We start from the raw sequence: 26239 nt of genomic DNA on the forward strand, positions 1-26239 counted from the left end.
CAGGCCTCTGAAGCAGTTCCTCAGGTAGGGTATATCAACTCGAGATCCCTGAGGGCCACAGAGCTGCCTCTCACTCCACTGGGGGCCCTGGATCAGGTTCAGCTCTTTCTGGGGCAGCATGGGAGGCTCAGGCTTTGGTGTCAGGCAGATGGGCCCAGCAGCTGCGAGACCCTGGGCAAGTTAGTGCCCTCTCTGGGGCCTACTTTATCATCTGTAAAGTGGGGACAGTCCTGTTTGGATCAGATGAGGTAATGATTAAGTGCCTTATGTAGTGCCAAGCGTGTTGAAAGGGCTTACTTTACAAACATCGCAGAGATGGGGGCAGAGGAGACACAGCCCTGCTGGGGATGACCGTCCCATTGCCCCAGCCCAGCCCATTCCCAGCCCCAGCCGCCTCCATGGGGTAGAGAGGGAGGAGGAGCAGGCTGGCTGGTAGGGACCTGGGTCACTCCTGACTCTGTCACAGGCTTGCTGCCTGACCTTGGACAAGACAATTCCTGTTTCTGGAACTCAGTTTCTTCATATGAAGGCTGACTCTATGATGTACTCATTCTGTTTGCACACTGGCTGACCCTCTGTGCCTCAGTTTCTCCATTGGTCAGAGGATACAACCCATTCTAATGACCTCACAATTCAGCATACTTTAATCTGAGTTAAAAATTAATTGGCCAGTTAGGATCACACTTGGATAGGGCACAGACTGACCCCCTCATCCTCATTCTGAGCTGACCTCTGAGCCTTACGCGATGCATCACAAATGTGTGTCACGGGTACTGGCCAAGCGATAGAATATGACTTGCTTTGGCCAATAGCATGGGCAGAAGTGATGGCGTGTGAGTTCTGGATCCCAGGTCTCATGAGGCCTTGCAGTTTTTGCTTTTGCTCTTCTGGAACTCTGCTATACAAGGGAAGCTGTCTCACCTACCGGATGATTTGAGGGCACACAGAGGAGAACCAGCGCGTGCCATGAACAGTCAGTAGCAACTCCCAGGCTGTGAGTGAGGCTGTCTTGAACCTTCCAGTCTAGCTGACCTGTCAGGTAAGTGTAGCCACATGGCTAAGCTTAGAAGACACTGCCCAACCAACCCCTAGAACTGGGAGAGATGATAAATGGTTTTTTTTTTTGAAGACAGTCTGTTGAAATCACTTGTTACATACACAGTTAGTTTTTGCTAACTGATACACACGCGTGCGGAGCAGTCTGGATGCGGCTCGGCCCTTTGCTCTGTTCGGTGCTGGCTCCTCAAGGGCAGGGAGTATTTCTGTGCCATCTTGTGTCCATTGCCCAGTAAGGGGCTTGTCATGGAGCTAGTGCCCTGGAAATGTTGGCACGAGGGAGGGAAGGAAGGAGAGGTTGGACTTGCCTGCCCGACTGACCAGGGGCCTTGTGTGGCCTCTCAGAGAAGCTGGGGAGGTGGGCTCTGTATTAGGAGGAGCACCAGCTCCAGAACCCATAGTCCCGCCCCCAGCTCCACAACCCACAGTCGGGTGACCTTGCACAATCCCCTAACAACCCTGCAATAAACATAACAGGACCTACCTGCAGGATTGGTTGTGAGGTCTAGGGACAAAATATTTAAAAGGAACCAGCATACTCCCTGGTGACATAATTGACCCTCAATAAAGGGCATCTCACGCCATAATACTGAAGCCCCTGGATAATGAAAATGGTGACGATCACCTTTCATCTAGTGCCTATTCCTGTGTTATGTGTCCTACACCCTTTGGCTCTTCCTTACTCCATACAGCAGCTCTTTAAAGGGGGGATTCCTACCCCTCCATTTTAGAGACAAGACATGGAGGCTCAGGGAAGTGAGTTTACTCACCCAAGGTCACCTGGCCACTATATGGCAGAGCAGGGACTTGAACCCATGTTTAGGCTGACTCCAACACCTGGGCCTTTAACTGCTCTGCTCTGTGGCCTCCCTGGCCCAAAAGCCTAAGGATCCCCTCGGTGTAATACCAGATGGGGAATTTGTGGCCTAAGCACTGCTTTTCAAATGCTGTGAAATGTGTCAGAGGTGGCGGCCTCTCAGACAAGGTGGCGGCCTCTCAGACAAGGTGGCCAGGAGCACAGGAAGATGAATGGTCCAGCCGGGTTCTGTCCAGGGCCTCTGGCTGAGCAAGTGTGGGTAGAAACCTCCACCCACCCAGGCCCCAGCAAATAAGATTTCTACAAGTGCAGCTAGGCCAGCTGCCTGTTACTGCCAGAAGCTAAGTTGTTTCTTTATACCATAATAAATCTGGCTGTAGGAGTCAGCGAAAGCAATGATTACTTCACACAACCTCTCTCAGCCCCTGATTGAGATGCATTATATATCCCAGGCACCCAGGAGATGGAGCCGTGACATTGATGGATGCCAAGGCCACTTGCAAGGCCCTCATTGGGAGCAGGGCCTGGCCAATCTCTCTCCCTGGGCTCCATGGACCTCCCCCTGCCCCGGTGACCTCTGATGGACAGGAGCTTAATGAGCTTTGGCCTCAACATCCCCATGGCTAAGGGCAGTGCAGAAATAATGGAGTCATTGCATAGGCAGGATCAACAGGTTCAAGTCAGGCAATGAATGGCCAGCAGGTAGAGGATGAGGGCTTTGGACGTGGGGATGTAAGAAAGCAAAGCTTTATTCGGCACTGAAATGCACATTGCTCAGTGCTCTCTGTAGACTGTCATATGTCAGTCTCCAGTTCCACCTGTGAGGTAGGTACTATGATCATCGCCATTTTACAGATGAGGAGACTGAGGCTTAGAGAGCTTAAGCAACTTGCCCCAGGTCAGAGAGCCAACAAGGTCACACAAACAACAGCAACCAGTGTGATCGTTTGAAAAAACAGGCCAGATCCCATCACTCACCTGCTCAAACCCTCCAGTGCCTCCTGCTGCTGTGTGCATGAGCACTGTGCTCCTGACCATGACCTCTGAGGCCCACCTGTCCTGGCTCTACCCTGTCTGTCCACGTCCCTCCTGCACGCTCCTGCGCACTCCAGGCTCTTCTTCCCCCATCATTCTGAGCTCTTTGCATGGACACCCTTCTCCGGTCCTGCATACCTGGCTCTTGCCTGGTGTCCAGTTCCCAGATCAGATGTCCCCTTCCTGAGATGCCCTCCCTGAATGCCCTGAGTGGCCCTCCAGCACCCACTGTCCCTGTGTCTTTCAGGGCCCATCCTGTGTCTGTGCCTTGCTGCTTTCTCACAGTGGGTGATGAGCTTGTTCATTCACTGGGTATTTCTTCTCACCAGACTGAGCAGCGAGAGGCCAGGGCCATGTAGGTCTTGTCCTCCTGTGTCTGTTGCACTGGGCATGGTGCCTGGCACATGACAAGAACTCAACGAGTATTTGTTGAATGAATGAAAGTTGCAGAGCTGGGACTGGAGCTCAGGTCTGTCTGGCTCCAAAGCCTATACTCTTAAGCACATAATTTTTAGTCCTTGGATGACCACATGGCTTGAAGTCATGAGGCTGGGTTCCAATGCTGGCTCAGCTACCACCATGCTGTGTGGCATTGAGCAAACATCTGGGGCTCAGTCTCCTGATTTGTCCATGAGGAGGCAGAGCTAGGTGCTTTCTAGGAGCTCATTCTAAGTAGGACAGCATCAGGTTCAACATCCCTCAGACAATGGGGCTGACATTGCTCAGTGGGGTCCAGGCCATTGGCCTAAGCATCGGGTGTCTGAGGCTGGTGGCTTTACACTGACTTTAGTCTGATGGGCCTGCACCCCCACCCTGGCTGGTCCTGGTGATCACAATAGTGACTGCTGTGCATTGTCCCTAATACAGACTGTTCCTAATCTCCCCAGCATCCTGAGAGGTGGGTATCACCAAGCCCATTTAGCAGGCAAGAAAGCTGAAGCTCAGAGAAATGAGGGCAGAGCTCTCAATGTCACAGCTAGAAAAGATTCAGTCTCTGGACTAGAACTTGGGACTGACTCCAAAGCCGGTGCTCATGCAAACAACAGCCAGTCTATGCCTGCACCACACCAGCTGCTTGAGGCTGCTCTCAACCCTCAGCCAGGCTGCTCTCCCAACCCTGCCCTAGCTGGGCTCATCTCCACTGTGCCTCACCATCAACAGCCTCTCCAGGTCCAGGGCCGGCTTGAAACACTGCCTGATCATCCTAGTCTGCTGCATTCTCACCGTGAGGGTGGCCTGAGTCAGCGGGAGCGCAGGAGCTGAGAACGCCTTTCAAGAAAAAGGAAACTCGTCTAAGCTCACCTCCTACTCTCTCCCTGGGATGGGAAGAGGGACCCTGACCAGAAATGTCATTTTCTGCTCATTTCAAAGTGAATAATGTGGCTGTCTTGGGCTGTGTTTAATCTCTTAATGCATCCCTGTTTGAAGAGCAATGGGCTCAACATCCCTCAGAGACAATGGGGCTGGCATTGCTCATTAGTGCCCAGGCCACTGGCCTAAGCATCTGCTTTCTGAGCCTGATGAAATCTTGGGTGTAGTCTGAGCTTTGGTCTGATGGACCTCTGTACCTACTTTGGCAGGTCCTTGCATTATACCTAATGTGGACATTGTCCCTAATCTTCCCAGAAATCCTGAGAGACAGATGTTACCAAAACAATTTGATATATGAGGAAAGAGGCTCAGAGAGCTGAGGTGAATTGCTTAAGGCTACACAGCTAGAAAAGAGCCAAGACAGAATTAAAAGCCATGTCACTTGACTCCAAACCATTGCTCTTATAATCATTGGAGAAATACTGGCAGATCTAAACCTGAACCACATTAACTGCTGGAAGTTTCTCTTGTCCGTGAACCAGTCTGCCCTTTCAACACTCACTCAAGCTAGGCTCAGCCACAGCCACAAACAGGCTTAGCTGAGGCCCACAGTCAAACAGGGCTCAGGGCTGGGCATCTAGTAGGCCTGCAGCAAAAGCCAGTGACTGGACAATTGAATGTCTTGAATCTGCAGAGGGTGGAGGTGGCCTGAGTCAGCAGGAGCTGAGAAAGCCTTTTGAAGAAAAATGAAATGTATCTCAACCCACTCCCTACTTACTCCCAGAAGTGGGAAGAGGGAACCTGTCCAGGAATTTTATTTTCTATTCTTTTGAAAGTGGAACAATGTGGCTTTCTTGAGCTGTGTTTATTCTGTGACTGCATTCTCTCTTTGAAGAGGGCTGGGATTGCTCCCCAGGGCTCCAGCCCATGCATGCTCCTTTCCCTACAAAAGGCATAGCAACTCTTCCCCTTCTAGCCTCTTCCCCAATCAACCCTTTGCTCCCTTCCATGTCTGCCTCTCTCGCCCATGACAGTTCTTAATTTATTGTCTCTGAGCTCCAAATACATCCTTCGTTGCCCTGCTTTGTAATACTGGAGCTGGACCCTGTGAACAGTTCTCTTGTGCCAGCTAGAGCAATGTTAGGCTTTGTCAGGAGAGGGCGCTAGAGGGACACTGTAAGGTCCCTCTGCAGCGGGAAGGCACTTCCCTTCCAGGTTCTGGTCCTCCTTCCATCTTTTTGTTTCCAGCACAGGAGCCAAGGCCCAGTGCTATCATCTCAGTGGCCTGTGTGGACCAGCTCCAAACGTCTTTTCTGTATAACAGGAAAGAACCATCAGGCTTCACTCTCTCCACCTGGACATCGATTCTATAGACCAGCCCTACTCACACTTGACACCAGCCTGAACCCATGTGGGATCAGGTTCCCACAAAGACGGCCATGTCCACAGACTGAGCCAGCTTACTTTCCCTGGCAGGTTTCTTAGCCACTGGAGGCTGCATGTTCTCATGGTCATCACTCACTCATAGAGGAGGTCTGAGTCAGGGGGAACACCTTCTCCTGAGGCCCTATTTCCTTCATTATTCACTTTCCCTCAGCCTAGAAACAGTAGCTACTTTTTTGCACGTGCTGCTTCTGGGTCTCATAGAGTGTTCTTTTACCCTTTTTAGTAATTAACTATCCTTTGTTAGATAATAATTCTTTATATTAAAATTTCCACGTTCAGATTATGGGTGTGAGCTCTGTCTCCTGACTGGATCCTAATTGATAAGGAATTGAGAGCAGGAATGGTCCCAGGTGACAGACCCGCAAAGATGAGATTTTGATAGGTTTCATTGTGCCTTTGGGCTGGAGCACAATGCTGAGTTCCTTGCCAGTGGGAATGGGATGCTTGTAATCTACAGCATAATGGCACCATAATGTTGCTATCACCTGTAATGGATTTTGGTGCAATGCCAACTGGAGCAAGTGTCTTGGGAACTCAGGTGACTCCTGCACCTGACCATGATTACACCAGTAATGATGCCCGCAAGGACTGTGGTGTGGGATGAATCTTGCATGCACTGGAGCACTTACTAGAAAAGAAAAGACAAGTTGAGGTTATTTAATTCTCAGCTCAAATCATAGTTTGAGGACCACAGAGCTTCCATGTCATCCGTAAAAGAATCTCATATTTCATGTAGCCACAGGGCTGATATTGCTCAAAACCAAACACAAAATTTAATTGTGTGGGTGGCAGAATTTAAATGTCAGTTAAATTTATAGCATCACAAGTTTTTCATGTGAAAGTTTGGGTATAAATCAGGGAAGAATGTGATCTTGAAACTTGGAATAGGGACATCTGGTTGGACTCAGATAAAATGGAGAATCCTGATTCCCTGAGGCCCTCTGAGCCTCCCTTGCCAATGGAAATATCTTCCCCTCTTGTATCTGAGGAGGTTAGTTTTCCTTTGTTTGAAAATGCGGAGATAACCTCATATGGGGCAGATGCCTTGAGATAGCATGACCATTATCCTCAGGAGATGCCACAAGCACGCTTTGTTACCACTAGATCCATAACAAGGGTCAAATCTCAGCATGCTCCAAGGGGACAGGTACTCACTGTGATGCAGAACGAGGCAACACAACAGAAGAAAGGCAAGATTTTGCTAATGGCAAGATTTTACATAATTCAGGGAATATTTATGGGAGCTGATTCTAAGGGTGGAAGGTAATAATTCTGAATTCATGGATGTGGATTTGGTATTTAATGTGTTAAGTTGTGCAACTGAAGTTCGCTCTAACAGTTTACTCAGTTGGTTGACTGAAACTTGGACTTGAAGGTGGCTTACATTTAATGAAATTGAAATGCCAGAGGTTCCATGGCATAATGTGGAAGAGGGAGTCCAAAGGCTTAAGGAGATAGGATGTTGGAGTGAATTTATCATGTGTGACCTGCACAACCACCCCTGCAAACTATGTTCCATGAAAATTCTCGGAAGACACCTTCTTAACTAAGGCACTGAGAAATATATTATTGAGAGGAGAACCTTCATCCTTAAGAAACTCTGTGGATGTTCACCTTCATAGTCCAGTTATTACCATAGATTATGCTATCATTCCTGTGAACTTCTTGATTTCATGGGGACGATAGCATCCTGGAGCTGCAGAGGCTAAGTGGAATTGCTTAATAACCAAAGACAATATGGATGATGCGCCATAAAGGGCAGCAGGGATGTGCCTGTAATTAGAATGCCTTGGCCCATAGGGATCTTTGGTGGTGACTAATTGACCACTTTGTCCCTAGAAAGGAAATAGACAGATAGCCTACTAAAGCACTGCTTGATCTGTATCACAGAAAAACAAATGAACAAACACAACTCTAGCACTGGTGCCCAAAACCCGACTGGAATGACTGTTGCAGTTACGGCTTCTCATCCAGTTTCTAGACCTAAAGCAATTCACAGATCAGACCATCTTGATTTAGGAGGATGCCAGACCCTTTGAAGAAGATTCTTGCAGTAGTGCTATAAGTATATACCATAAGTCTTCCTCCATGCCTGCCTTATTCTAAGTGAAGTAACTCAGGAATGGAAAACCAAATATTGTATGTTCTCACTTATAAGTGGGAGCTAAGCTATGAGGATACAAAGGTGTAAGAATGATATAATGGACTTTGGGGACTCAGTGGGGAAGGTTTGGGGGGTGCGAGGGACAAAAGACTACATATTGGGTGTGTGTACACTACTTGGGTGATGGGTGCACTAAAATCTCAGAAATCACCACTAAGGAATTTATCCATGTAACCAAAAACGACTTGTGCCCCCAAAACATTTGAAATAAAAATAATTAAAAAAAACCAAACTTCCTCCAAGCCTTCTCCAAGGGGACCTGTGGCCACTTACTAGAATGACTGCATTTGGGGAAAGAAAGTACCCAGTCCTTTGGGGGATTACTAGACATTGACTCTGAATTTATGATAATTCCTGGGGTTGCAAAATGCCACTGTGGTCCACCATTCAAAGTCTTGACTTAGATCATCAGGTGATAGATATTTAGCCCAAATGTGTTCAGTTGGACATTCCCCCAGTTTCTGAATGTATAAGTGAAATTGGCATACTCTCACTGGGAAGAGACCCCATTTTGGGTCTTTGTCTTATGGAATGAGATCCATCATGGAAGAAAGGGCCTAAATAGAAGTTTCTGGAACTTCCTCTCTTTGCCATGATAGCAAATTGGAAGCACTTCCATATCCGCGGGGAAATTTCAGAGATTCATGAAGCCTTGAAATATGCAGGGGTGGTGATTCCTATCCCATCCCCATTTAACTTGCCTATTTGACCTATGCAGAGGTTGGAAGGGTTTTGGAGAATGACTATATTATTGTATATTTCATTAGGTGGTAACACCAATTGCAGCTGCTGCCCCAGATAGAGCATCTTTACTGGAGCAACTCAGTATACCACTTTGGTATGCAGCTGTTCACCCATCTACTGCATTTTTCTCTGTACCAATTAGTGAGGACTATCAAAAACAGTTTGCTTTTACCTGGAAGGGCCAACAGTACACATTCACAGTCTTGCCTCAGAACCAAGTCAATTTCTCTTGCTTTCTCCTATTATATAGTCTACAGATAATATGATCATTTTGACATTCTACAAAGCATTGCACTGGTGTACTACATTGATGATGAGCTGATTATGCCTGATGAACAGGCAGTAGCAAGTACAACATATGTGAATGTCAGGGTGGTAAATAAATCCCACAAAATTTCAGAGGTCTGCTGTCTCGGTAGTTTCTGAGGTTCAGTGGTCTGGAACATGTTGATATGTCTCTCCAAGGTGAAAGTCAAGTTGCTGCACATTACATACTGCTAAAAAAGAGGCACAGCACTTGGTAAGCATTTTGGATTTTAGAGGCAACATATGTCACATTTGCGTGTGTAACTTTGACTCATGAGCAAAAATCTCCATAAGGCTTCCAGTCTTGAGTCAAGGAGGTTCTGCAGCAAATTAAGGCTTCAGAAAAAGTTTCTCTACCACTTGAATGATCCAGTAGATCCAGTGATTCTCAAATTGTCCACAGCAGGTAGGGATGCTGTATGGAGTCACAGCTAAGCCCCTAAAGGGGAATCACAATGCAAACTTTTAGGATTCTAAAGTAAATCTATTCCTGTTTATTCAGACACTACTTTTTTCCCCCCTGAGAAATAGCTTCTAGCTTGCTATTGGACTGTGGTAGAGACTGGGTGCCTAACTGGGACATCAAGTGACCATGCAGCCTAAGATTCCTAATTGAGATTCTATTGACGCAACTAGTTATAAGGTTAGCTTTGTGTGGCAGCAATCTATCATCAAATGAGAATGCTATTAAAGAGACCTCACTTGGGCAAGCCTGGAAGGTATGAGTAAGTTGTATGAATTAGTAGTTCAAACTCCTTTCTCATCAACTTCTGCCGCATTGCCTTGTCCCCCTCAAATCATGCCTATGGCCTCGTGGGGAGCTCCTTATGACCAGTTGCTGAACAATGAAAACTCAAGCCTGGTTTACAGATGGTGCTGTCCGATATACCAACCAAAACAGAAGACTGAGGTATCACAGCCCCATTAGGGTGACCTTGAAATACAGTGGTGAGGGAAAATCTTATAAGCAGTATATTTGGTTGTCCATTCTGGAATAAGAGATAGCCAGAGTATGGCTCTACACTGATTTATGAGCAGTTGTTAATGGTATGGTTTGGCTGGTTGGTCAGAGACTTGGAAGAAACAGGACTGGAAGATGGAAGAGGGGGAATTCTGCAGAAGAGTCATGTGGATGGGCTTCTCAGAATGGGCATAGACTGTGAAGATTTGTGTCCCATGTGAATGTTTGCTAAAGGGCATCCACTGCAGAGGAGGCTTTCAATAAGTAGGTGAGCAATATAACATGCTTTGTGATGATCAGTTAACCTCTTTATTCCTCTGTCCCTATGCTTGTCCAATGGGCCCATGAGTAAAGTGGCTGTAGTGGCAGGGATGGAAGATATGCCTGGGCTTAAAAACATGAACATCCCTTTCCTAAGGACTTCTTTGGATACTGCCACTGCTGGGTGCTCAATCTTCTGACGGAAGAGACCAACATGAGCCCACAGTATGCCACCATTCCCTGGATAGACTGGTCATCTACCAGGTTTCATCTTGATTTCATTGTACATCTCCCATCATGTAGGGGGCATAGATTCTTCCTTATTGAAATAGAATCATTATCTGGAGATATATTTGATGTCCCTGCCTGTGATTCTTTTGTCCCTGCCACCATCTATGTACTCATAGAATGTCTCACCCACTATCATGGTATAGTACACAGAATTGCCTCTTCCCAAGGAATTCATTTCACAACAAAGGAAATGTAAAAGTGGGCTGATTCCCATGGAATTAACTGGTCTTACCACATCACTCATCACCTGGAAGTGAACGGTCTAATTAAAAGATGGAATGGCTTACTGAAGGCTCAGGTATGGCACCACTTGGGAGACATTCCCTGAAAGGATGCAATATATGCTTTGAATCAGGCACCATTGTATAGTGCTACCTTCCTTGTTGTTAGAATACCTGGGTCCATTAATCAGGGGTGGAAGTGGGAGTGGTTCTATGTCAGTCAATTTTCAATCAAGATACAGAAAACATATGAGATTAACTAAGGGGGAATAAAAGAGAACTCTAAAGAATACCACTAAAGTGAAGGAGAATGTACAAGGCCCAAAACTTAGAAGGAAGAGAGGATCCTCTCCACAGCTGGGATTCAGACCCTTGAGGAGGGTGTAGTTGCAGCCTATTGGATGGTAGAAAATTTCACTGGATTGTCAGCCCAGAGATGGTCTCATGGTGGGCTGAAGGGGTGGGTTGCCCCTCCACACCTGTGGGTGTTTCTCGTTAGGTGGGACGAGAGACTTGGAAAAGAAAAAGAAACAGAGACAAAGTATAGAGAAAGAAATAAGGGGACCCGGGGAACCAGCGTTCAGCATATGGAGGATCCCGCCAGCCTCTGAGTTCCCTTAGTATTTATTCATTCGTCGGTGTTTCTCCGAGAGGGGGATGTGTCAGGGTCACAAGACAATAGTGGGGAGAGGGTCAGCAGGCAAACACGTGAACAAAGGTCTTTGCGTCATAGACAAGGTAAAGAATCAAGTGCTGTGCTTTTAGATATGCATACACATAAACATCTCAATGCTTTACAAAGCAGTATTGCTGCCCGCCTGTCCCACCTCCAGCCCTAAGGCGGTTTTTCCCTATCTCAGTAGATGGAACGTACAATCGGGTTTTATACCGAGACATTCCATTGCCCAGGGACGGGCAGGAGAGAGATGCCTTCCTCTTGTCTCAACTGCAAGAGGCATGCCTTCCTCTTATACTAATCCTCCTCAGCACAGACCCTTTACGGGTGTCGGGCTGGGGGATGGTCAGGTCTTTCCCTTCCCACGAGGCCATATTTCAGACTATCACATGGGGAGAAACCTTGGACAATACCTGGCTTTCCTAGGCAGAGTTCCCTGCGGCCTTCCGCAGTTTTTGTGTCCCTGGGTACTTGAGATTAGGGAGTGGTGATGACTCTTAAGGGGCATGCTGCCTTCAAGCATCTGTTTAACAAAGCACATCTTGCACAGCCCTTAATCCATTTAACCCTGAGTTTGACACAGCACATGTTTCAGAGAGCACGGGGTTGGGGGTAAGGTCATAGATTAACAGAATCTCAAGGCAGAAGAATTTGTCTTAGTACAGAACAAAATGGAGTCTCCTATGCCTACTTCTTTCTACACAGACACAGTAACAATCTGATCTCTCTTGCTTTTCCCCACAGTGGGCTAAGGTTAGTGGGCATGCCTGCTGAGATGCTGATGAAATTCAGAAGCTGCCTGTGAGGGTTTCTGTTGAACTTGCTGGGAAGCCAGCTGGAGCACTGGCTGCCAAGAAGTTTCTCAGAGTATTTGGGGTGGGAGGATAGGAAGCCATTTTTGGGAAGATGAGTGGAAGTGAGCTGGGGCTTCTATAGATCCTGCCTTTGAGAAGCCAGATATGGGAGGGCTGCTGCTATCACCAGCGGTGTGCTCTACTGAGTGTCCTGCACACCACCGAATGCAAGAAGAAGCCAAGTACTCTGGAATCAGAGTGTCCAACATCCTGCCAGTGCCATCTATTGACAAAATCAACACCATGCCAACTTGCAAGAGAAAACGTTCTAGTTTCACAAGCAGGCCATGAGGGGTGGATTTGGAACTCAGAAGCAATAAATGGCAACTGGTACAGGCTCCTCTCATTATTATTCTTAATCACCCACTTGGAGAATGTTTGCTTCTTGTCTTTGCAAATTTGAACTCTGCTGGCTTGGATATCTTTGTTCCTAAGGCAAGGATGGGGGGAATCCTAGAGGACACAACGTTGGTTCCAATGAATGGAAGGATGAGACTGCCTCTAGCCATTTGGGGTTCTTACGTCACCTATCAAACAGGCCGATAAAAGGGTTACTCTTTTGGATGGAATGATTGATCCTGGTTTCCACGGAAAAATTGGATTGCTTCTACACGATGGGGACAGGAGGGCTATGTCTGGAACTAAGGGGATTCTGCGGGTGTGCCTCTTAGTACTTCCAAGCCCAACTGTACAGGTTAATGGAGAACTTCATCAATCCAAAAAAGGCAGGATAATTGAGGGCTCCTATCATTCAAGAATGAAGTTTTGACTTTCTCTTCCTGGTAAAAAAAAAACCCCAACTAGCTGAGGTTCTGGTTGAGGGTAGGGAAGATTCGGAATGGGTAGTGGAAGAAGGAAATCATAGATATAAATTATGGCCTTGTGGTCAGTTACAGAAATGAGGACTAGAGTAGCTTTGCATATTTTCTCATTTATTGTTATGTGTATATATTTATGACTATGTTAATTGTTTCCTTCTCCTTCTTCCCGTTGGTATTATTCTTTTTCTTTTTTTTTTTTTTTGAGACAGAGTCTTGCTCTGTCACCCAGGCTGGAGTGCAGTGGCGCGATCTAGGCTCACTGCAACCTCCGCCTCCTGGGTTCAAGTGATTCTCCTGCCTCAGCCTCCCAAGTAGCTGGGACTACAGGAGTGTGCCACCACGCCGGGCTAATTTTTTGTATTTTTAGTAGAGACGGGGTTTCACTGTGTTAGCCAGGATGGTCTCGATCTCCTGACCTCGTGATCCACCCGCCTTGGCCTCCCAAAGTGCTGGGATTACAGGTGTGAGACACTGTGCCTGGCCTATTTTTCTTTCCAACTATTATTTCAGGTTCAGGGGTTACATGTGCAGGTTTGTTACATGGGTAAATTATGCGTCGCAGGGATTTGGTATACAGATTATTTTGTCACCCAGGTAATAAGCATGGTACCCAATAGGTAGTTTTTTGATCCTTACCCTCCTCCCAGCCTCCACCCTCAAGCAGGCCTGGGTGTCTGTTGTTCCCTTCTTTGTGTTCATGTGTTCTCCCCATTGTTATTTATATACCAGTTATTGGAGGTTAACTTTACCATATGGCCTTTAGGAAACAGAATATTCAGTGTGACTGTGCTGATTTTGAGGAGTTGTTCATATAGCCAGCAAGGGGTGAATGATGTTGGAACTACGTGTCTCCTTATTTTGAGGCAAGGGTGGGAACTTCCTTATGTGTACAAGGGATAACTGCATCTCCTTAGGTGGAAACACAGAGTTGCCTTGTTGTGAAGGGAAGTTTAAAAGTGTGTAGTAGATATATATGGAAGCTGATTCGTCAAAGGCAAGGACTGTGATGGTTCCACCAATTGTTTCTCAAGTCCACCCTTCTGTGTCCTGCTTTGTGTTACTGGAGCTGGACCCTATAAACATTTGTTTGCAGGCTGGTGCAATGTTAATCTCTGTCAATAGAGGGCAGTGGAGGGGTATTGAAAGGCTATAGAGATGGATGGCATTTCTTTGTTTTTTTTTTTTTTGTTTTGTTTTGTTTTTTGAGATGGAGTCTCTCTCTGTTGCCCAGGCTGGAGTGCAGTGGCGTGATCTTGGCTTACTGTAACCTCTGCCTCTCAGGTTCAAGCAATTCTCCTGTCTCAGCCTCCCCAGTAGCTGGGACCACAGGCACACACCACCATGCCCAGCTAAGTTTGGTATTTTTAGTAGAGATGGGGTTTCACCATATTGGTCAGGCTGGTCTTGAGCTCCTGACCTCAGGTGATCCACCCACCTCGGCCTCCCAAAGTGCTGGGATTACAGGTGTGAGCCACCGCGCCCAGCCTCATGAACAGTTCTTTACATTACATTTTCCATGTTTAGGTTACTGGTGTGGTCTCTGTCTTCTGAATGGTCTCTATTCACATACTCTCCACCCTGGCATCTGGCCTCCTTGCTGTCTCCATCTTAATCAGATTTGAGATGAAGATTTGGCCTCCCCCTTGCTCTCCTCTTGGCCTTTCTCTTCACCTCTGCCTCCTTCAGATCCGTCTTGGAAAGTCCCAGTTTCTGTGTGAACATGGTGAAGATGAGGATGTGGCATCTTCCCAGCATGCCTTGCAGAAAGGCCAAAGCCTAGAGCTGGGAATCAGGATGCCTGGGTTCTAGGCCCAGCTCAGCTTCTAACCTATGTCCTTTACAGGTGGGGAAAGTGAGGAGAAGTTGTGTCAGATGCCTACTTCCATCCAAGCTGCTCTAATGACCTGCAAAGGCTTTCTCCTCACCTCAATTTCCATGATGTTCTGTGATCCTCATGACAACCCTTCTTCTTACGGCTTGGCTGGATAGATCTTGTCATTATTATTCCACTTACATTATTATTCCAGTTGTATTATCGTTATTCTGATTAATACAGTGCTTCTTAACTGGGGGCAATTTTGCTTCCCAGGGACCATTTGGTTATCACAATGTGGTTTTGCTACTGACATCTAGTGGGTAGAGGCCAGCGATGCTGCTAAATATCCTACAATACATGGGACAGCCCCCGCCTTGGCCCCTCAACAAGAAATTATCTGGCCTGCAATGTCAGTAGTGCTGAGGATGAGAAGTCCTGAATTAATAGGTATAGAAAGAGGGGTCTTACAAGGGGAGGTGGCTTGCCCAGGGTCACACAGAAAGTGAGCAGCAGAGCTTGGATGAGAGCCTAGGCACTGAAACCCCTAGCCCTGGTCTTTTCAACCCTTCCCCATTCTTCTCCCAGGTCCAAGGGTAGGAAGGCAATGGAAAGCCAGTGAAACCTTCCCCGAGGAATTCTGTGCCTGCAGGTGGCTGACATTCTCCTCTCGCCTCCCTGCCTTACCAATCCCCAGCCACTTGCCAAGGCAGCCATCTGCTTTCTCAACTCCTGTTCTGAGCTGCTGAGAAGCTGCTGAGAAAACTGCACTTAGTGAGTACTGGCAACATCGCCAAGGGGTGATTGCCAACGTCAGCGGGCTCCAGCATCACCCATCGTTTCTGCCACCTCCCTGTCATCTGCTCCAACCGCCCTTCCCTTCAAGGACTATTCAGATCCTCCACCTTTCTTAAGTTCTCCCCTAGTCCCACCATCAGCTTTTTCACTCCCAGTAGTGACCTGACTTTCTCAAATACTCCCTTCTCTCCTGAACCTGTTCTCAGCCCGCTTGGGAAGAGGACTCTTAACTATCTCAGGACAGACTCTCTCCTCTGGTTGAGGGCCAGTCCGTTTCCACCTTCCGGACTGATTCCTTTCTGCCTTTGCGGGACATTGTCCCTATAGCGTTCTCTCTCTCTGTCCCCACTTCCCCCGGCATTTGTCAGCACCCCTGACTTCCCTGCATAAAGCCTGCTCAATCTCCCCCATACTTAATTTTAAAATAAATTCCTTTCTTGAAATCTTCTGGCCCCTCGAGCCACTTTCATTTCTTCCCCTCCCATCCACATACTGTTTGTACTGCCCAGATGAGCCACTCACCCTGCTTGCTCCAGCTGCAAACCTCCTACTCACCTTCAAACCCAGCTCAGATGTCAGCTTTCCTAAGATGCTGTAACAGATGTGGTTGGTGTCCCCCTCCCCTTGGCACTCTGAGTTCTGCAGTTACAGACAGTTCTGAGCATGCTGACAGCTTCCCACCTCAAATGCCTGCATCTCTTTCTCTCTCTGGCACCTGGAGAACTTGCTTGTCTGTGTGGCAGGTGTCAGCTAGGAGTACAGGGGACAGGAGGAGTTAATGCCTCGAGAGGTGGTGAACAGTGCCCACTACCCCTTGAGTCATGAGAGTGGGCTCTGGGGGCATCTTCCACGCAGGCCTCAGAGGCTCCCCAGCAGGACTGAGCCCCGAAGCTGCCGTCGCTGTAACCCACTGCCTAGTGCTTAGTTCATGCTTCACTGACTTTTCTCTTTTCCCCACTTAGTCGTTCCATTTCCACACTTTATCTGAGAGGGTTCCCCTCTCAGATAAACTATCAGCACTGGGGCCCTTGACTCAGGGCAAGCTGTTGAAATGACCATTTCCTGGGGTTGCTCACATTGGAAGCAACAGGTGGTTCATCCATGTGCTTCAAAAAGAGCACCCTTTGGGGCAGCCACCCTGAGACACACCCCTGTCCCCCTAACCCTGGAGGGAGTTAACTGCTCCCTCCTCCTGTTCCCTGATGCCTGTTATTGTTTCTTGACACAGAGTTTCTGTCTCTTGTTCCAGACTGTGAGTCCCTGAGATAAAAGCAAGCTCTTCCCTACCTCTGTGTCCCCTTAACCTGGCATGTCACCCTGGCACATCAGTGGCCAAGAAATGTTTACTGAGTGAGTGAGAAAAGGAATGGATGAAGGGGATAGGAGTCTCCAGGGCCACCCATGGTGGGTGACCAGCCCCGCGGAGAGAACTGTCCCATGGATGTGGTCCTCTCAACCCCGCCTTCTCCTCTCCGCCAAGGGGGCCTATCTCTGCCCACCCCTGCCTGGCCCAGAACCCCTCACCCTGACCCCCGTCCTACCTGCTATGATGCAGTCTGCCTGGTGCAGGCCAGGAAAAGTCCCCAGACAGGGGAGCGGGCCCCTCGGTAGGAGATTCCGGCTCTGGCTAAATAAAGGTCACAGGAACCCAGTGAAATGCTGTTATAATGCGACATAATTCAGTGCTGCCTTCCAGCAGATGTCGCTTTGGAGGGATGGATTTGTCCCAGCTGGACTCTGGGGTGCTTTCTGAAGCACACGGAAGAACCACCTGCTGCTTCTGATGTGAGCAGCCCCAGGAAATGGTAATTTTGACAAATCAACGTATTCAAGCCAAACGCATGGACCCAGTTTCCAGCAGGAGGAATTACAATCCTCGCTGAGGAAGTGAAACAGCTGCTGTGGAGCCAAGCGGCTGTACAGGCTACGTCCAGCCCCGAAGCCCCAGGGGAACAGGATGCTCCTAGCACAGATCGCCAGGGAGTCAAACTCAGCACCCTGGTCCCATAAAGGACCATTTTACAGATGAGAAAACAGGCCTGTGGCAAACTGAGGCAAAGGAGCGCTTGCCCAAGGTCACACACACTGAGCCAGTGGCAGACCTGGGGCCCTGAGCTGAATCCAGACAGCTCTGGCCCCACCCTCTCCCACGGCTCTGAGGAGCTGGCAGGTGAGACTCGTGCTGAAATAAAAACTAAAACAACCGACATCGTGACCAACTCACAGGTTGGGCCTGCCCTTTTGTTACAGATGCTGATCTGGGAATGAGAGACTCTGGGATCTGATGCTGGTTCTGCCCCTACCTTCCTGTGTGACCTGAGTTTCCCCATTCAAGGGGCATAATGCTCCACTTCCCAGGATGATGTGAGGATCACGTGAGGTCCAGGAGAAACTCCTTGGCACACTGTGTGAAAGTAAACCTGGGAACAGTGTTATCGTCACCCACACACCTGCAGTGATGGGATGCTGAGGACAGGGATGGTCCTTCCTTGAGCTGCTAGAAGTGAAGGAGAAACCAACGTGTCTTTTCCCAGGCACACAGCTCTGAGCTAGGGGAGGGGCCTCAGGGTGGGTTGTAAGTCTGGAGGCCTTGGCCATCCTTCCTCCCATAATGTAGGGGTGTCTCTGAAGCCATATTCCCCTTTCTGTCCCAGCAGGTGACATGGAATCTCAGCTCTTAAACATCCTGGCTACAAAGGTTTGGCAGTGCTGGGTTGGGGGCAAATATCTGGGGAAGGGAAAGAGAGAAAGAAGAGGCTTACAGAGAAATGGGGAGGAAGAAGAGGAGGGTGAGAAGAAAAGGAGGAGGTGGGAGAGGATGAGGAGGAAAAGAAAGACAGAAGGAGACAGTGGAACATTTGGAGGAGGACTGTTTCCATTCTATGGTACAAAATGCAAGCAGAAATTGTGGGCTCTAGAATCAGAAAAATCTAAAATCAAAGGCTGGCTCCACCGCTCAGTATTTGGGGGACTTTGGGCTAATCATTCAACTGTTCTAAACTTCAGTTTTCACATCTGTAAAATGGGGATAAGAACGGTGCCCATTTCTTAGAGATAATCTTGGCAAAGCATTCAGTACTATGCCTGGCCAGGAGCAAGTCCTCAATATGCAGTAGCTAGAGTGGCAGCAGAAGTGGGAAAAGGAGCTGTAAATCTACAAATGTGTGTGTTCTGGGAGAGTCTGGAAAACCCATCCCACTGGAAGGTAAGACGGCTTGTTCATGCAGAGGAGCAGATGGATTTGTCCAAGTTGAGAGAAGTCTGAAGAGGCACAGAAGCCCAAATCACACATGCAAAGGAATGCAGTTAACAAATTTTACTGTGAGGACAACAGTTTATGTATTAACGGTGGCTAAACTGATAAATATATAAGAAGCTGAGGCCGGGTGCAGTGGCTCACACCTGTAATCCCAGCACTTTGGGAGGCCGAGGTGGGTGGATCACCTGAGATCAGGAGTTCAAGACCAGCCTGGCCAACATGGTGAAACCCCATCTCTACTAAAAATACAAAAATTAGCCAGGCGTGGTGGTGGGCACCTGTAATTCCAGCTACTCAGGAGGCTGAGGCAGGAGAATCACTTGAACCTGGGAAGCAGAGGTTGCAGTGAACCGAGATCACACCATTGGACTCCAGCCTGAGGGATAGAGCGAGACTCTGTCTCAAAAAAAAAAAAAAAAAAAAAAAGCTGAAGGCCAATTTCATGTCAATAGATCACTCAGGAAGAAATGTACATGGAGAACCCATGAACAAATGACTGTCATGTCTCCTGTTAGGGAGACAGAGAGGGCGATCCACAGTGAGGGATCACTGACTGTGGGGCAGCCACACTGGGGCACGCACTGGGGTCCACAGCAAATGAGGTGCAGCAGCTGAAACAACACGCCCTCAGTCCCACAATGGGTGAGTAGTGGAGCTTGGACTCCAACCCACCTCTGTCTGCAGCCAAAGCTCTGAATTGGCTAACACCATGTCTGAAGGCTGGATGCTCCCAGGCCTGTAAGGCCCAGCAAGACTGGGGAACAGAGCAGCCCTAGACGGATGGGTATAGACACTTGGGGTGCGGGCCCCTTCCCTTTAGTCATGATGGGCCAGACAAGAAGTTTGGCTAGAGACCATGTCTGCAAGCCCAGGTTGGCTGTGCTGAGCTGCAGGCTTTCCATCTCCCTGGAACTGTGAAATCCTTGCAGGCTTTCCCCTCAGCCCCCACCAAGATAGGCACCCCCATCCCTGCACTTGGAGACTGGAGCTTTCTCTTCTTAGCAGATGCTACCTGGGTGGTTGTGACTACAGGGCTGTGGGTGGAGATGAGACAACTCAGGATGTACACATTTTTGAATTGGGATAAAATACCAGCTAAATATTTGTCCTAGATTTTTCCTTCTGAGGAATTGAATTATGAGATGCCAGTTGTTTTAATATGAGCTATGCATTATCACACACAGAGTCTATTACATGCATAGTAAGCCATACACATGCATACAGAAGCAACTACACACACAGATACACACCCACACACACAAAGAGGAGGACCTAGCAACTATTTTCCTAAGGGACCATTTTCAGGGCTCACTTCCAGAACATTGAATGGTTCTTAGGAAGCAGAGATAGTCTCCAAACTCAAGAAAATATTTTTCCTAGGACCTGTAAATGCTACACATGATAATTGTCCTAATCTTGTTCCTCTAGGTCCTCTACTATCCAGCCCTCCCTTGCCCTGAGGATTATTACTTCCCTAGCCCTTGGAGTACTCAGCTTCCTGGGGTCTCCCCGAGCCACCCTCCTTCATCTAGCTTCCAGAAGGTGAAGACAGAATAGAAACTTTAAGGTCAGAGCTCATCTGTGGAAATGGGTTAATCCAGTTTTAGCATCATGGACAGCCCCCTATCCCCGCCCCCAATTTCTTCCCTCCCAGTAATGGAGGAGGCTGAGGTTCCATTTTGATAAGTTTGGGAAAGAGAAACTGGGAGCTTCCTGCTAATAGCATTAGGACATGGGGACACCCAGGTTACTGAGAGGTCTGCATCCAGACAGGGCTTCGTCTACTCCAGCCACAGGCTCATAGGTTCTTTAAATTCTCCAATCTAATATTTCAAAGCCATGCATATTTTGCCCTCTGTGATATATCCATGATTGTTTTAATATAAAATATAAAATAATGGGCATTTTCCACACAGAGGGAGGATGTCCTATACCCATCTTATGGCTTCATGTATCTCTGGGCACACTGCCAAAATTCTTCTGGGGTGTGTGGTGTGAGGTACACTGCCCATGGAGTGAAGGCCAAGATCCTTAACTTGGAATTCAACATTTTATGTTCTGGCTCCTAACTTTTCCCAATCATCATCCACCACTTCCTCATTTTCCTCCTCTATTTTCATCCCTGCCCACCCTCACATGTCACACAAGATTTACTCTCCCCTCTCAAACTCCCTACACATAACAACAGGGTTGCTTTGAGCCCCTGACCCACCTCCAGTTCTCTTTAGACTGAACCCTCTCCCCATGGGAGAAAGTGGGTCTTTCCACCCCTGCCTTCTCTGCTCCTGCCTATGAATACAGACACACAGGTCCTCATCCTCTGAACAATCTGAGGTTCAGCCCACGCCACCCAATACGGCAGAGGAGTGGTTCTGCTGTTGTTAAGGAATAAACATTAGCCGAACACCATGGATTTGTTTCTTTTCTTTTTTTGAGATAGAGTCTCGCCCTGTCACCCAGGCTGTAGTACAATGGCGCAATCTCGGCTCACTGCAACCTCTGCCTCCCAGGTTCAAACGATTCTCCTGCCTCAGCCTCCTGAGTAGCTGGGATTACAGGCACCTGCCACCACGTCTAGCTAATTTTTGTATTTTTAGTAGAGATGTAGTTTCACCATGTTGGCCAGGCTGGTCTCGAACCCCTGACCTCATGATCCGCCTGCCTTGGCCTCCCAAAGTGCTGGGATTACAGGCATGAGCCACCTTGCCCGGCCCATTTCTTTTCTTTTTCTTCTCTCTTTCTTTTTCTTTTTTCTTTCTCTCTCCTTCCTTCCTTCCTTTTTTTCTCTCCTTTCTTTCTCTCTTTTTTCTTTTTCCTTTTCTCTCTCTCTCCCCTTCCTTCCTTCCTCTCTCTTTCTCCTTCCTTCCTTCCTTCTTCTCTCTCTCTCTTTCTTTCTTTTTTTTGACAGGGTCTCCCTCTGTCTTCCAGGCTGGAGTGCAGTGGCATGATCTCGGCTCACTGCAACTTTTGCCTCCTAGGTTCAAGTGATTCGCCTGCCTTAGCCTCCAGAGTAGCTGGGACTACAAGTGAGCACCACCATGTCTGACTAATTTTTGTATTTTTAATAGAGACAGGGTTTTGCCATGTTGGCCAGGCTGGTCTCAAACTCCTGACCTCAAGTGATCCACCCGCCTCGGCCTCCCAAAGTGCTGGGACTACAGGCGTGAGCCACCGTGCCCAGCCTTGTTTCTCTTTTTGATTCTTGTCTTATAACATGGGCTCCTCATCATTGCTCTTCCTCCCTCACCCCTGCCACAGACACCAATGAACTAAGGAGTTTCAAATCTTGCCCAGGACAGCTGCAGCTGGAGAGTAAAGAAAGGGTCGAGGCTTTGGGGGATTTTCCTCACCCTATAGTCTAATTGTGGCTCAGTGAACCTTCAACAGAGATAGAGGCTGTGTGCGAACTGAGGCCTCTGCCTCAAAGCCTCCGTGTGAAATCTCTTCCGGTGAGATTTCCTGCTGCTCTAGCATCGGGCTGGGGCCTCCAGGAGGCTGTTGGGGTGGACAGAAGGAATTGCAGCTGTCCCTGTCAGCATCATGAATGGCCCTGATCCTGGGAGGTTAGAGCAGGAAGGTGCCACTCCCACACTGGTCAACAGCTCCATGGACACCTGCTGTATGCCAGGCCTGTCCTGGGCTTGGGGGCCACATGGATGGGTTGGACATCGCCCTTTTCCTCGGGGAGTTCACAGTCTATGGGCTGGTGGATGAATCACAAATTTAGCCCAGAGAGTGGGCATAAATCAGCCCAGGTCCCACAGCCAGACAGCAGACAGGGTTGGGACAGAGCCCAGGGTTCCTGACACTCGGGCTGCCCGACCAGGACTTACTGTGCAGGTGCCAGGCCAGCAAGAGGGGTCGGGAGATGTTTTCCAGGGCAAGACCCTGATTTGTGATACGAAGTGTACACGGAGACAGAATCAGAAGGAAAGGGACTGGATCCACAGAAGTGCTTGCACCTGCTGGCTGCTCCCTGTCTCCAACGCTTATCCAATTCTGTACTTGAAAAATGGCACCGCATCAGTTAGGACCTGCAAACACCAACAAACGGGCTTAGGCAAATTTGGCAAGTCAGCGGCGCAGCCGACCGAGAACTCCAGAGCGAGTGCTACTCAGTTGCCCTTTGATCCTGGGTTCAGGTTTGGGCTCCATCTCTCTGGCATTCTCTCCTTTCTCCTCGACTGTTGCTGTCCTTGCTGGCCCGTCACACCCTCACTCTGCAGCGACCAGAAAAAAAGAGCCAGTCGCTTCCGGGACGTCCCTCTGAAGAGAGGGACAACTCCTCTTTCCCAGAAACCCCAGCGAACATCTCCTCGCCTTTCATTGGTCTGAACTGGGTCATGTGCCATTTCCTGAACCAATCACTTTATCCAGCAAGATAGGCTAGCCCCACGGCTTAGGCCAATCAGAACCCGGCCCTGGAGCTGAGGGTGGGTCGTTCAGGGCACGTGTTGAGAGGACAGGGTAGTTCCCTGAGGGAGGGTCTGTCGATTTGGTGGGAAGTGCTGACATGGAGGCTGGGGAGGCAAACAAAGCCCTGAGATAGTCGCCATCGCCATTGCCTGAGATCATTAATATGATCCAGTCAATCAGAACTCCCCCCGCTGCTCCAGCCCTGTCTTCGTGTCCTGCCTTATGGCCAAGCCCTCTGCTTAGTGGAATGGAGCCCCCCTCATCCATACTGGCTCATGACTCCATTCATTTGCCCTTGCTGTGCCCTCCATCCGGGATTCTCAGCCCCTAATCTCTACCCTCCTTATCTTTTAGATCCCAGGTCAAGCTTCACCTTTTGCAATTTTGAAATGAATAATCTCTGCCGGGGATTCCCACAGCACCTCGCTCCCACCATCATTTCCAACACCATTATGGTCAGCTTTCCTTATGGCATCCCTGCCCCTACTTTCTACCTGCTATCGGCGCAGAGCTTGCCAGTTCCTTGAAGGTTTGGCTCTGGATAGGACTTAATTAATTTCTCTGTTCTCAGACTCTGGGTACTGCCTGGTTTAAAGAAAGAACTCAATATTTGTTGAATTAATGAAAATAAGTTTCTGTTGAAGACATGACTTCTTTGAAGTTGTTTGCATTTTAACAAATGGCAAAGCCTCAAGCCATAGAAATGGAGCTCCAGTGGTAGAATTTCAAGCACCAATAAGCTGGATACAGAAGCTCCCTTTAATGCTTGGGGGAGGAGATGACTGTCTTGGAAAGTGGAATTTTCTATTCCTGCCTTTTCAGTGCAAAAAACAATCACGTTGTCTCCTGAAAACAAATGTGTTTCCCTTTGGCTGTCTGGTGGGAGGAAACTTCTCTAGTCTTGTCAGCTTTCCTGCCCTGGTTCTGGTTGACAGAATGTTCCTCCTGATCCCTGTGAGTTGTGTGGGTGATGCCCTGGTTGACCTTCTCAGCTCTCTGACCCCCCAGCCCCCAAGCTTGCCTGCCAGTCTATCTCTGCCTAGGTGGGGAGGCCCCAACGTTAGTTGGGAGTTTGAAGAAGCCTTGTTCTGCAGCTCAGGCATTTCCACATCAAGCCCATTGTCTTGACTGCTTCTCTCCAGCTGACCTGAGGCACATCCTGACCATTTGTGCCCTCCTTGGTCCTCCAGTCAAGCCCACCTCATGCCCCAGCTCCACATGCTATGCATGCTCTCTGCCCTCAAGCTTGTCCCCTCCAGTCTAACCCAGAATGCCCGTCAGCAGCACAAAGCTGGCTGGGTCCCTCCCAGCTGGAAACCCTTCCCAGGCTCCCAGTGCCCTCAGCTCACAGCCCATGCAGAGGCACAGACATCAGCCAGACACAAACCATAAAGCATGTGTCCCTACTTTTGCACCTGCCTTTCTCCCTGTCTAGATGCCCTCCCCTCTCTGTTGATCTGGTGAGCTGTTACTCATGCCTCAAGATCCAGCTCCAATATACCCTTCTTAGTGAAGCCCTCCCTGCTTGGCCTATTTCTGTCTTGGCACATGTCCCCTCGTCTGTCTCCTCCACTAAACTGTGAGCATACCTAGGTCAGAAGCCAGAGTGATTTTTCTGTCTCCAGCATCAGACAGCAGAAGAGGTGTCAATGTGTGTTTGTAGAGGGTTAAATGAAGGATCGAACTTGCTACTGTTGCAATAACAGCAACAATTATATCTTTTATTTTGGAGAATATGCTGCACACCAGGCACTGTGCTAGGCAGTTTGCCTGCATTTGTCTGCTATGGCTTCACAAGCCTTTCTGAGTTTGGTGTGATCATTAGGTGCATTTTACAGATGAGACACAGTGTGCTCAGAGAGGTTAAGGGGCAGTCCAAGGTCACACCATGAAGGAGTGAAAGGGCTAGAACTTGAAATCAGGGATGTCTGGCTCCACTTTCTTCATTTACTGGGGACGTACTATGTTCCAGGTGCTGTTCTGTGGTCTGGGGATACAGAATAAGCCAAGTCCCTGCCTTTGTGGAGCTCACATTCTAGTGTATGGTGTAGGGAGGGGACAAACAACAAATGAATATATGACAAATGCCAGGGGCTGATCAGTACTATGTAGTGGGGACATATTAGTTTGCTAGGGCTGCCATAACAACACTACAGACTAAGTGGCTTAAACAACAGAAATGTATTTTCTCATAGTTCTGGAGGCTGGAAGTCCAAGATCAAGGTGCTTGCGGGGTTAGTTTCTTTGGAGTCTCTCTCCTTGGCTAGCCACCTTTGTGCTATGTCCTCAAGTGGTCTTTCCTTTGTGTCCACTTTGATATCTGTGTGTCCTAATCTCTTAGGGCCTCATTTTTGACTTAATCACCTTCTAGAGGCCCTATCTCTAAATACAGTCACATTCTGAGGTACTAGAGGTTATGACTTCAACACGAGTATTTTGAGGGGACAAAAGCAATTTAGGGAGTCAAAGAGTGATAGATGGGGGTTGGTGACACTTTAGGGGACATCTGAGCAGGGATGGGAATGAACTGAAGGTCAAACCCTGCTTACAGCTGAGGGAAGCATACTCCTGGGCAGGAGAAACAGCCTGTGAAAAGGCCCTGGGGAATAGCAGAAGGTCACTGTGGGCAGAGCTTTGTGCTGGGGAAAGGAGAGGGGATGAGGTCAGGGGGGGAGTGGGAGTTGAGGGGGCAGATGCATGCACGTTCCCAGAACATCTTTACAGAACTTAATGGCTCAAATGGACTGACTCTTCCTACCCCTAGGAGTATGTAGTTCAACACCTGTGTTGTGCAGAAGGGGAAATTGAGGGCCAGAATGGGAAAGGACCTGTCCAGAGTCACACAGTGTGTTGGTGTTGGACGTCCTGCCCAAAGACTCTGCCTTTAGCAGCCCTCTCTTGGGGGAGGTGGGGACGGAGCGACAGCTGGTGCAGGCAAAGCTCTGCTGAGAGGACAGATTTGAGGATTGGGATTATCATTATTGTTATT

At 48.5% G+C, this 26239-nt stretch overlaps 1 long non-coding RNA gene across 1 annotated transcript; it reads right to left on the reverse strand.

The window, feature by feature from the left end:
* Positions 2605-23099, reverse strand: LINC01756 (long intergenic non-protein coding RNA 1756). Its single transcript, NR_110758.1, has 3 exons — positions 22668-23099; positions 6151-6293; positions 2605-4177 (listed from the first exon to the last, which is right to left on the reverse strand). It is a non-coding gene; the product is annotated as a long intergenic non-protein coding RNA 1756 (long non-coding RNA).
* Positions 23100-26239: the final 3140 nt, after the last annotated feature.

The sequence above is a fragment of the Homo sapiens genome, chromosome 1, assembly GCF_000001405.40.
Source record: "Homo sapiens chromosome 1, GRCh38.p14 Primary Assembly".
In the NCBI taxonomy this organism is placed as follows: domain Eukaryota; kingdom Metazoa; phylum Chordata; class Mammalia; order Primates; family Hominidae; genus Homo; species Homo sapiens.